The following is a 12,641-nucleotide window of genomic DNA, read 5'->3' as shown; positions in this document are numbered from 1 at the left end:
GAGAAAAAAAATGAATTCAGCCACAATTTCAAGGAATGGAATCAAAACTGAGGTTTTTTTTTTAATGGGAAGTTTTGTGCCAACCTTTTTTTGATCTTAACACTATGATGATAGTTAATCTTTCAGAACACAGATAACCATGATGATTTCTGTTTTGCACTCCAAGTCACTCTGTCACTGATTAATAAATAATCATTTTTAGCTTTGTGGGGGTGGAATTTTGGTGGATATTTTCTTTTCGGCATATCCACTAGTGAGTAATACATTTATTTTAAGTGCCAATAAAAATGTTATACTGCACTTATGTGACACCATTCATTAATTATTGGAAAAACTAACTCTAAACCATTTGAACAATGCTATATTTCTTTACCTGTGAATTCAGATTATCTTCTCAATATTTTATATTAAATTAACAAGTTTTAATACTGTATAACATTTTTGGAGGGAGAGTAAATGACATTTTCAAGAATGGCACTATCTCTATACTTATTTCAGTAGACAGTATTTTTCACCTTCTTCTCAACAGATGTTTTATAATTGTTTCCATGAATTTGCTTCCTTTCTGGTATCTTTCTAACACTTTAATCTTCTTTATTATTTTTCTTTTGTGAGTTCCATGTCTGCTGTTGTATGCTGTCCCTTCTCAACCCCTAATCTCTCTCTTATCTCTAAATTTAGAGATAAAAACAGAGGTATCCTAGATTCTAGCCCTGTTGTTTTTAGCTGTGCATTCTCTGGGTCTTGGTTTCCTCATCTGATAGATGATCAGTCTGACTAAATTAATCAGAATAATGCCATCCTCAGAAATGGATCTGATTTGGAATTCTTAAAATTAGAACAAAGCCATTAGGGGCTTTATGTACATGAATCAATGCTTAGACAAAACTGAACCCCTCATAAGTGATTTTCCTTTTGAGCTCACATTTAGAGATTGCTATTATGAGAGTTATTCTTAATATTTGGCTGTTGCCAGCATAATAGTTTTGGGAAGCTGACTTATAAAGACATTTTAATTCATTAAACAATCACTGAGTGCGTAGTATGTGCAAGCACTATAACCATATATTACATTTTTTATATGAGATCAGAGATCAGAAAATTTAAATACTTAGGCCAGGCACATAGCTCATACCTATAATCCAATGTTTGGGAGGCAAAGGCAGGAGGATTGCTTGAGGCGAGGCATTAGAGACCAGCCTGGGCAACAACATAAGCAAGACCCCATCTCTTTAAAAAAAAAAAAATTAAAAACATTAGCCAGACATGGTGGTGCATGCCTATAGTCCCAGCTATTTGGGAGGCTGAGCTGGGAGGACTGCTTTAGTCCAGGAGTTCAAGGCTGCAGTGTGCTATGATTGCACCACTGCCCTCCATCCTGGGAAACAGAGTAAGACCGAATCTCTTAAAAAAAAATAAAATTTTTAAAAATATTTTTTCTATTAAGAGAAACGGTAGGATTAGCATCATTTAAAGATGCAAACTTTTGTAAAAAGAAAAACACACTTTGCTTCATTGGAGAGAGTGGTCAAAATTTTTTTGTTTTTGTTTTTTAACAGTTTTTTTTACAGTTGAGAGTGTAGTGATAGATTCACTTACTTTTCCCCATAGGAGTAGGGGTAAACCTCAACCTATAACCTTCCTACCCAACACTCCTACAAAGAAAACAGCTACAAATGAAAAACTGGCAAAGTTCCCTATGTGTGAAATATTTTAGAAGAGAGTTAAGCCAGATTTAAACCAAGTTCTCATCATGGATTCAAGATTCATTCAATTAAACCAATTTTTGGTGTTGCATATGGAGTTCATAACCCCAGTATAGAGCATGAAAACACCTAGAATTTTCAGTGGTAATACTACAATTAACTATTAAGTTAGGCTGGGCGTGGTGGCTCACGCCTGTAATCCCAGCACTTTGGGAGGCCGAGGCGGGCGGATCAAGAGGTCAGGAGATCGAGACCATCCTGGCTAACACGGTGAAACCCCTTCTCTACTAAAAATACAAAAAAATTAGCTGGGCGTGGTGGCAGGCGCCTGTAGTCCCAGCTACTCGGGAGGCTGAGGCAGGAGAATGGCGTGAACCCGGGAGGCGGAGCTTGCAGTGAGCCGAGATTGCGCCACTGCACTCCAGCCTGGGCGACAGAGCAAGACTCTGTCTCAAAAAAAATAAAATAAAATAAAATAAATAAATAAATAAACTATTAAGTTAGCTGTGTTATAATTAACTGTTACGTTAGTGGTAATATTATAATTAACTGTCATATTAGTGGTAATATTACAATTAACACACATGGTTAGCTCTGGTGTACCAAGATTGAACTTAAAATACGGAAACAAAAGGTTAGTTATTATGCAAAGTCCTCACATCATTTTCTAAATAAAATAGGAATACCAGCATAGGATGAAAGAAAAATAGTAGATTTTTTTTCTTAATGAAGTTTTGTATACTGGAGTGGATGTGTGATGTGGCTCCCAAATCTCCATTTAAGAATAAATGACTTATCTCCAGGGGCTGGAGTGCAGTTAGCAGACAGCCCTAAGCCCTCAGCTTTCTTTGAGAGTTTTCTCCGTCAAAGATAGCTGAGTTCCCTATAGCACTTCCTATTCCCAGAAATGACTGGTCAACTTAGGGATAGAAAGGCCCCAATTTCAGGGCCCCTCATCCCAACTCAAGACAACTCTGAAAGACAATCCCACTTTAGAACTCCCAGTGGGGATGGCTGAGGCCTTCATTGAGAGGGCATCACACCCCATATTCTCCCTCTGCCTAATCCTATTTCCTTGCCTTTCCTCGCACAGGTATTGCTTTCCAGAGCACTCCTAATGTGTCCCATATACTAATCTCCACCAGGATTTTCTTCCCAGGGAACCCAACTCTGTCACCAACCAGAAGTGCCCTTGAATAGGTCATGAAAAAAATGATTATTATTAATAATTATTTTCTATGACACCTAGTTTCCTAATCCAAAACATAAATATCCTGAGTTAGGGTTTTCGTTCAAGTGTTAAATGCAATGTCACAGAAGTTGTTGTAGAGTTTTATAGTTAATGCAGACTTGGAGCCAGACAGATCCAAGTACCAATTTCAGCTCTACCACTTACTAGCTCTGCAGCTTTCAGAAAGCTACCTAAGCCCTTTATGTATCTACCATGTCATCTATAAAATAACAATAATTATACTAAAAATAACACTTTTAATTGGACATTTACTATATGCCAGTCATTTAGCTAATGTAATCAAACGTATATTTTAATAAGCTTATTTAGGCTGGACGCGGTGGCTCACGCCTGTAATCCCAGCACTTTGGGAGGCTGAGGTGGGTGGATCACCTGAGGTTGGGAGTTCAAGACCAGCCTGACCAACATGGAGAAACCCCATCTCTACTAAAAATACAAAATTAGCTGGGCGTGGTGGTGCATGCCTGTAATCCCAGCTACTCAGGAGGTTGAGGCAGGAGAATCGCTTGAACCCAGGAGGCGGAGGTTGCAGTGAGCCAAGATCGTACCATTGCACTCCAGCCTGGGCAATGAGAGCGAAACTCCATCTCAATAATAATAATAAGCTTATTTAATAAAATAAATAAGGTTGCTATAAGGATTAAGTGAACTAAGCCACATAAATTATTTTCTACAATACCTGCTACATGGTATAAACTGAATAAATGGTAGTCAGTAAAATTTCTATTGTTGTTATTCATAATAAAGCATATGTTATAGTGCCTTGCACCAAAAGTGATACTCTGTGTGAGAAAAGGAGTCAGATTTTTCAAATTGCCATATTTTTGTTTGAAAGAAATATTTTCTATAATACAGTGACATAATTAAAAATACTTAAATTATCTAAACTGGCACAGACATATTCAGAATCCACAAGACAGCTAATAGTCAAACAGAGAATAATTTATCTCATAAGACTCCCTCTATTTCTCTTCTTCCTCTTCAACGAACTGTACCTACTCAAATGCAAAGATGTGCAATCAGTTGCAGGTTAGAAGCAGAAACCACTGTATATAAGGCCAAACTTATTAAACCCTCTTGTGATAATGGAGAGAACTAGAGATTACATTCTTGTTGTTCCACAGATGAAGATTGGTGGCGGCGTGGAAATGTACATGACTCAATCTTGTTCAGATTGTCTACTTGGTACTTATCCTAACACCTACCTACACTTTCACCTCCCCAAGTCACACAGAGGACCTCATCTTCCTGAAACATTTTACATACCATCATGGGCACCAGAGGTTATGCACTTGAGATATACATATTTTCTCAGCTTCTTCTTGATTTGAATTCACCTGATTTTAAAAGTATTTACTTACTTCAAGTCTATTTGAAAACTAATACTAAAGACATGGAAAAGCCCAGGTTAATAGAATTGCTAAATAAACTGAAATATTCCATTTTAAGCATTGGGGCTGTTACTAAATATCTCAAAGCCATAAGATGGAGCCATACGCTAAGAACAGTGAGACAGAAAGAACCTTCCTTGTATATATGCTAGAGCAGCTGCACCAGCTCTGGATAGTCTACCTCTGGACTTCTTACAGCATGAGAAAAGTAAACCCCTATTTGATTAAGCAACTGTAGCTAAGTTTTCTGTCAGTGGTGCTAAAGACACTCCCAACTAATATGGGGTTATACTAATGTTGCTTCATTCTGTTCTTTATTTTTTCCATCAACATGTTTTCAGATTCATCCACGTAAAAAGTGAAGATGTAATTAATTCCATGTAACTGCTCTACAGTATGCCATCACATGTTCATCCCATATTTTACCTCTCTATTCCTTCACTGATAAAATTTTGAGTTATTTTTCACTTATTCTTCTCAACAGTATTGTACTATGCATACGTACATGTGTCCTGATGCACAACAAAATGTCTTTAACTATATTTAGCAATGGAATAGCTAGTTGTAGGGCACAAATATTTTCAATTCCTTACCTACTGATGTTGCCAGTTATCTTTTGTTTGCCCCTTCAGAGCCTTCCTTTCTCCATCCTACCCCACCCTGGGAGGCTGACTCTATGAACTATATCAATGGGCCCTTCAGCTCCTGGTTGGGTTTATCCAATGAGGAACCCCAGCAGAATATCCGAGGGAGAGTGCAGTCTAGATATTTATTTACCAGCTCCCTCCTACAAGATTTCTTGTGCTGTGTCCCTCAACCAAGGAGCGCTGCTCCTCTCAAAGCAATCTCTACAAGATTTTCCCTTTCTGGGTTCCATGAACCTTTACTCCTTCTCCTTGTCCCTTTGGGTCTGGAGGTGGTAACAGTTCCTCTGCTCACATCCTCATAGTCTCTTTGTAAATCAAACCTCCTTGAATTATCCTCCATCTGTTTCCAGGGGAGAGCTTGATTGCATCACCGCTATACTCCTCTTCAAGGAGCCTATATTAATTTACAGACTTACTAGCAGTGCACAAGAGTGTTCACTACCCCTGCACTTGCCAACACATAATATTAACTGACTTAAATTTTCTTCTATCTGATGGATTCAACATAGTTGATTTTTTTGTTTTATTTTGTACTTTTCTGATTACAAGTGAGATTGAGCATCTCTCTATGTGATTTTTTCCCCTATAAATTGCTTTTTACTATCATTTGCCTATTTTTCTACTGGATTGTCTTTTTCTTGTTGACTTTCAGTACTTTAAATATTTGAAATACTTATCTGTATCTGTTACGTATGTTGAAATATCTCTTATCTACTGCTTACCTTTTGTCATTGGTGTTTTTTGTTACCCAAATCTTTAAAATATCTACCTATATTTTCTTCTGTTTTAAAGTTTTACTTTTCATATTTTGGTCCTTAATATATCTGAAAATTATTTTTGTGCACAGTATGAAAGTCATCGAATAGCATTTCTTTCCTTATTGTGAGCCAATTTTCACAGCACCATTATTGAATAATCCATCATTTCCCTTTGATTTGAAGTGGTGCCTATTTCCTACACCTAATTTCTAATGTACTTGTGGATCTGTTTCTGAATTTTACATTCTATTCCATTCATCTATTTGCTGCCAATATATTAAGAGTTTATGAAGAGATGGGGTCTCATTATGTTGCCCAGGCTGGCCTTGAACTCCTGGGCTCAAGCAAGCCACCCACCTCAACCTCCTGAGTAGCTGAGATTCCAGGTGCATGCTACCATGACCAGTTTATTCTAATAGTCTTGTTCTTTAACACTTTTAGGTTTTCCATGTACATGTTCACATCATCTGCAAATAATAAAAATTTTCTTTTTGCATTTCTTGTAATTCATATTTCTTTATTATCATAACGTTTTAGAATCTCAGTACCATAGTTGATAATAGTGGTGATAATGGATGTTCGTGTTTTGTAACTTTGAAGATACTTATAATATTTCATTATTGAATATGATACATTTGCTGTAAGTCTGTTAGATTCCTTTCAATTATTAGAAAAGTTTTTGGCTGGGCACAGTGGCTCACGCCTGTAATCCCAGCACTTTGGGAGGCCGAGGCGGGTGGATCACCTGAGATCAGGAGTTCGAGACCAGCCATGGCCAACATGGTGAAACCCCGCCTCTACTAAAAATACAAAAATTAGCTGGGCCTAGGGGCGGGCGCCTGTAATCCCAGCTACTTGGGAGGCTGAGACAGGAAAATCGCTGGAACCCAAGAGGCAGAGATTGCAGTAAGCCAAGAACATGCCACTGCACTCCAGCCTGGGCAATAAGAGTGAAACTTCACTCAAAAAAAAAAAAAAAAAAGTTTTATCCTATTGCTGTTGTGTAAAAAGTTTTTCTTAAAAAAAAATACAATTCATGTCAACTGTTGAATTTTATCAAACATTTTTTCTGCATATTTTGGAATAATCATATTTTTCCCTTTCAAAAGTATTTATGTATTAAATGACATTGAAAGATTTTCAATTTTTTTCCCTGCAGACAGTATGGTGTTTTATTGGCAGATTTTTTGAACTGTTGAAGTATTCTTTAATTCCTTGACCATGATTTATATACACACATGGTTTTATCATATTTTATTTCTTATAGTTGCAGCTAGATTCATAAATATTTTTTTCTTGTGTTGTCTTTATTTGGTTTTGTTTAAATGAGTTCAGGGTCTCTAATTTATAAATCTTACTGAACCTGTAATTCTTCTCCTTTTTTCTTAACAGTGTATGCCTTTGTCATTTTTTCTGTATTTGTCTTATAAGAGACATGTCTATTAATCTTTTCAAAGACTAGCATTTGTTTTTATAGAACCTTTCTAATGAATCTGTGTTTCCTATCTCATTACTTTATGTTCTTTTTCACTTTCTTCCTTCTGCTTTCCTGAGTTTATTCTGTTGTTCTTTTTCTAACTTAAGACAATGTGCACAACTCGTTAGTTTACATTGTTCATCTTTTCTAATGTAAACACTTAAAGCTAGAATTTTTATCTAAATATCACTTTAGCTATATCTCATAAATTATGCCAGTCTTCCCAATATTTTGCATTCAAAATATTTTATAATTCCTATTATGAATTCTGTTTTGATCAATTAATTTTTAAGAAACATTAAAAACTTTCTAAATACGCTTTTTAAAAAGTTATCTTGTAACTAATTCCTAGCTTAACTGAGTTTTGGCCTGAAAATGGGGTTTATAAAAGAGCAGTTCTTTGGTTTTTTGCTGAGAATAATTTTTTAGCTTTGTATATTATTTATTTTTTATAGGTGTATTATGTCCATTTTAAAAGATTTTGTATTTTCTAATTGTAGAGTATAAGTTTTATATATAAAGCATACAAAACTTTTTGTATAGTTCAAAACTTCTTAGAGCCTTACTAATTTTTTTGTCTTCTTGCTCTATCAATATGTAGACTATAAAAATGGTTACAAAATATTTTCCCACCTGAATCTATATCCTTGAAATGAGATAGCAGGTCCATCAAAAAAAATGGAATCTCTTCTTCCACCCCTTGTATCCAGGTTGGTCATATGACCTTTTTCAGCCAGTGGGACATTAGCAAATGTGATGCAAGCAAAGGCTTGCAAAGTGCTTGTGCATTAACATTTGTTTCCTTGCTACTTTTCTGATCTTCCATCACATGAACAAGGTCCATTAACTTAATAGATAATGGGATAAATATGGGCCAGATATCTATCACTCCGGTAAACTCATAGACACGTGAGCAATGCCATCAAACATGCACGGCCCCAGTGAAGATCAACAGAGGAATTACCCAGATAAACCCAGTTTAAATTTCTGACCCACAATATAATGAGCTAACAAGTGATTGCTGTTTTAAGCATCTAAATTTTGGGGTGGTGTATTACTTACCAAAAGCAAACTGATACAGTCAATTACTGAGAAAGATGAGTTAAAATTCTCACTAAGGCAATGGATTTGTCTGTTTAACCTAATATTTCTGTTCATTTTTGGTATGAATATTTGAGACTGTATTGTTAGGTGAAATTAAAATTATTGTTATCTTACAGGTGAATTGTATCTTTATCATGATATCATCAACCTTTTTATCTCTACTAATGTTTTTTGCCTTAACATTTAATTTCACTGATTCTAAGATAGTTATACTTTCATCCTTTCTGTGTCCTTAAGTTCTAATATCTCTTTGAATAACATACAACTTGGTTTAAAAGGAAACCAATCTACCAATCCCTGTCTTTGAATAGAGATGGAAAGTTCAACTCATTTACATTTATTTTGATTATTGATATATTTGCATTTATCTCTACCATCCCTTCTGCCCTCCTTTTAAGCTCTTCTCCTTTCCTACTTTCTTTCCACTGAATGTATGGAGTTTGTTTTTTTATTCCCCCTCCATTTTTTTTGTTAGATTATAAATTACATCCTTTTAAAATTCTTTTTAGTGATGATCCTTAAAATTTTAACGTAATACCAGATGGAAAGTCTAAAGGGAAGTAGTAGCTCTTTTTCCCTTAAAATTAGAAATTGGAAAACTTTAATCATTCTCCTTTCTTCCTCATTAAATTGCTTGGCACTTTTGCTGAAAATGAAGTTGGTCCTATATATGGGTCTATTTTTGCACTCTTATTTGGTTTCATTTGCCTATTTGACTATTCTTGTTCCATATCACCTTCCCCTAATTATTACAGTTTAGAGTAAGTAAGCTTGATATCTCATAATGTAAATCTCCCAAGTTGTTTTTCTCCAAAACTGTGATGACTGTTCTATGCCTATTGCATTTTCATAAAGATTTTAGGATCAGCACCTGAGGAGCCTTATCTGCATTTGTAATTGATTTAGATGACAAGGTCCTGGACTTCAAGACAATGCCATATTGGAATAAGACTTTAGGGGACCTGGGAGAGAGAGTGGGTTTATTTTGCCCATGTGGAAGGAATGTGAATTGTTGTGTCCAAAGGGAAGACTGTAGAAGACTGTTTTCCAGAGATGGCAATAATAACATTTTCTATTGCTACATGCTCTCCTTTAGTGTTACTTTGTTACTCTCCTATCAAGAAGCAGAGTTTACTTCTCCCTCTCTTGAATCTGGGCAGGTCCTGCAACTGCTTTGATGAGATCCAGGTGTAGTTCTTAACTAGTTTGGCAACTTTTACCTCCTTCATCTTGGCATCCTACGCCACAAGTAAGAAGTCTAGGCCATGTAGAGGATGACAGCTGCAAGACATACGAGTTAAAAAGCCTCATGGGACCTCCAGCCCAGTCAATCTTTCAGATGAATCCAGTCCCAGCTGCAACCCCTGAAATGATATCAAGGATCCCAAGCATGAACCACCAAGCTAAGTCTGGTCAACCCACAGAACTATGAAATACAGTAATAAATTGATGTTTTGAAGTGCTAAGTTTTGGAGCGGTTTGTTATACAGCAATAGAAAACTGGAACAGCTATATATTTTGTTAGTTTTTAGTGGTTACCCAGGAGATTACAACATGTATTCTTGACTTATTAGAATCTATATTAAATATAGTTTCACAATAATGCATTTTTATTCAGTTTAAATATTTTCTAACATCCCTTGAGACATCTTTTATGATCCAAAGACTATTAGAAGTGTATTGCTTAGTTTCCAAGCAATTGGTTGATAGTGTTGTTGAGTTTTTCTGTATCTTCCTGATTTTTCTATTTGTTCTATCAATTACTGAGTGAGGAATGTTGACATCTCTAACTGTAATTGTGCATTTGTCTGTTTTTTTCCTTTTAGTTCTGTCAAATTTTTGCTTCGTATGTTTTGAAGGTCTGTTGTTTGGTCTATACACATTTAGGGACAGTATGTCTTCTTGGTGAATTGACCATTTTATCATTATGTTATGTTCCCTCATTATCCTAGGTAACTTTTATTTTGCTTAGATATCTGCTTTAATATTGATATATCAACTTTGCCTTTCTTTTAATTAGTGTTTGTGTCATTTATCTTTTTGTGTACTTCTCCTTTTTACCTACTTGTATAATTGTATTTGAAGTGAATGTCTTGTAGACAGCATATACTTGTGTTTTTATCCATTCAGCAAATCTCTGTTTTAAAATTGTTGTGTATGCATTTTTGTTGAGTATATAATTACAGTGGACTTGTTAAACAATATGAATGCATGTGTTCAGAGTTTGTAGATTCTGTCAGTTTTCCAAAGTGGTTTTACCACTTTTACTTCAACTAGCAAGGAGTGAGAGTTCCATTTGTTCCATATCTTAACTGTTGGCATTGTCAGATTGATAAAATTTTAGTTATTCTGGTTGGTAGGTGGTAATATCTCATTTCAAACTCAGCTATCACTCTTTTATTTACCTCCTCTCTTCATAGATTGTGGTTTAGTATTAATGACGTCTCATGGTTCTAACTGCATTATTGCCTGTTTTCCTGTTTATACCACTTCTGTTTTTTAAGTCTCATTTCTATTACCAAATACCACCTACTATTATTGTTCCTGAATTTTATGTTTATTATAATAAATACATCAATTTTGAAAAAAATTGTGTTTGGACCATGCATATTTTATATAATTATGGGTATGTTTGGATTTAAGTATATCATTTAATTATTTGTTTTCTGTGTGTTATCTTGGTTTTTCAATCCTGTTTCCCCTTTTCTGCCTTCTTAAAGAACTGGAGAGGACTAGAAGAGTCTGTAACTTTTATTCAGATATTTACCATTTCTCTTAGCTTCATATTTTACAGGTTTCCTTTTTATATCATTTCTCTTTTGTCTGAAGAAATTCTTTTAGCAAGCCTTTTAGAACAGGTCTACTGACAATGAATTGTCTTTGTTTTCCTTCATCTGAGAATGTCTTTATTTCACTTTCACTAAGGATATTTTCTTTGTGTATAGAATACTGGGTTGATGGTTCTTTTTATCAGTGCTTTAAAAAAATGTTCCACTTTCTTCTGCTTTCATAATTCGTGATGAGAAATCTAAAGTCATTTAAATCATCTTTCCTCTTTGTTCTCCATAAGTAATGCATCATTTGTATTTGTCTGTTTACAAGACTTTGTCTTTGCCTTTAGTTTTCAGCAATTTTATTTTTATGTATCTCAGCATTAATTTATTTGGAGGTATCCTCTTTGGATTTGCTGAGCTTTCTGAATCTCTAGGTCTATACCTTTGGCCAAATTTAGTAAGTATTTAACCATTTCTGCAAATATTTTTTGCTGCAGTGGACTGTTTCTCCTCTCTTTCTTGGATTCCAGTGACACAGTGTGGCACCTTGGAGTATTATTCCAGAGATTTCCCGAGGATCTCTTCATTTCTTTTCAATATTTTTTTCCTCTGCTGTTAAGATTAGATAACTTCCACTGATCTATTTTCAAGTTCATTCACATCTTTCTCTGTCACCTCCATTTTGTTATCACCTCTATCCATTGAGATAGATTTTTCAGTAAATAAATTCTTCGGTTCTAAAATTTCCGTGTGTTTCCTCTTTAAATTTTTTGTTTATTTACTGAGACTTTATATTGTCCATTTGTTTCAAGAGTATTCATCCTTACTTCTTGAAGAATTTTTATAATAGCTGATTTTAAGTCTTTGTCTGATAATTTCAACATCTTTGTCACCTAGGCAGTAGTGTCTCTTGATGGTCTTTTTCTATTTGAGTTGCAATTTTCCTAGTTCTTTGTATACCAAGTAATTTTTCTTGTATCCTGGACATCCAGAATAGAATGTTAAGAGACTCTGGGTCTTGTTTAAATCCTATCTATGTGGAATGTTGATATTCTTGTTTCAACATATGATCAAGCAACCTAATTGGGTTCAGGCCACAAATTCTGACCAGCCTTATGTGGGTTCTGGTTCTGATGTTAGTTCAGTTTTCAAAGGCTTTGTAATTCTATTCATGCCTGTCTCATGTGTAAAACCCATTGTCTTGTCTTGGACCTGGATTGTGGTCTATCCCATAGTTCCATTCTCAAAGTTTTTGATGTGATCATTAGGGGCAAATCCACATGTACGTAACTTAGAGGGTAAGCACAGGACTTCACATACAACTTTATATGACTGTTTTCCCAAGATTCTCATTCCGCCTGACTACCTAAGTACTTTCTGATTTTCAAGGATTCCTCTTTTTGGTCCTCTGGCCAGAAACTTCAGCTTTAGTTGTCTCACTCTGCCATACATTTCCTGTATGTATTACACCCATGTCTAGGACCACATGGCAGAAGGAAGGAGGGGGAAAAAAAAGCTATGGAATTTCATCT

Source organism: Homo sapiens, chromosome 7 (genome assembly GCF_000001405.40).
Source record: "Homo sapiens chromosome 7, GRCh38.p14 Primary Assembly".
In the NCBI taxonomy this organism is placed as follows: domain Eukaryota; kingdom Metazoa; phylum Chordata; class Mammalia; order Primates; family Hominidae; genus Homo; species Homo sapiens.
Note: the sequence above shows the minus strand (reverse complement) of the source record.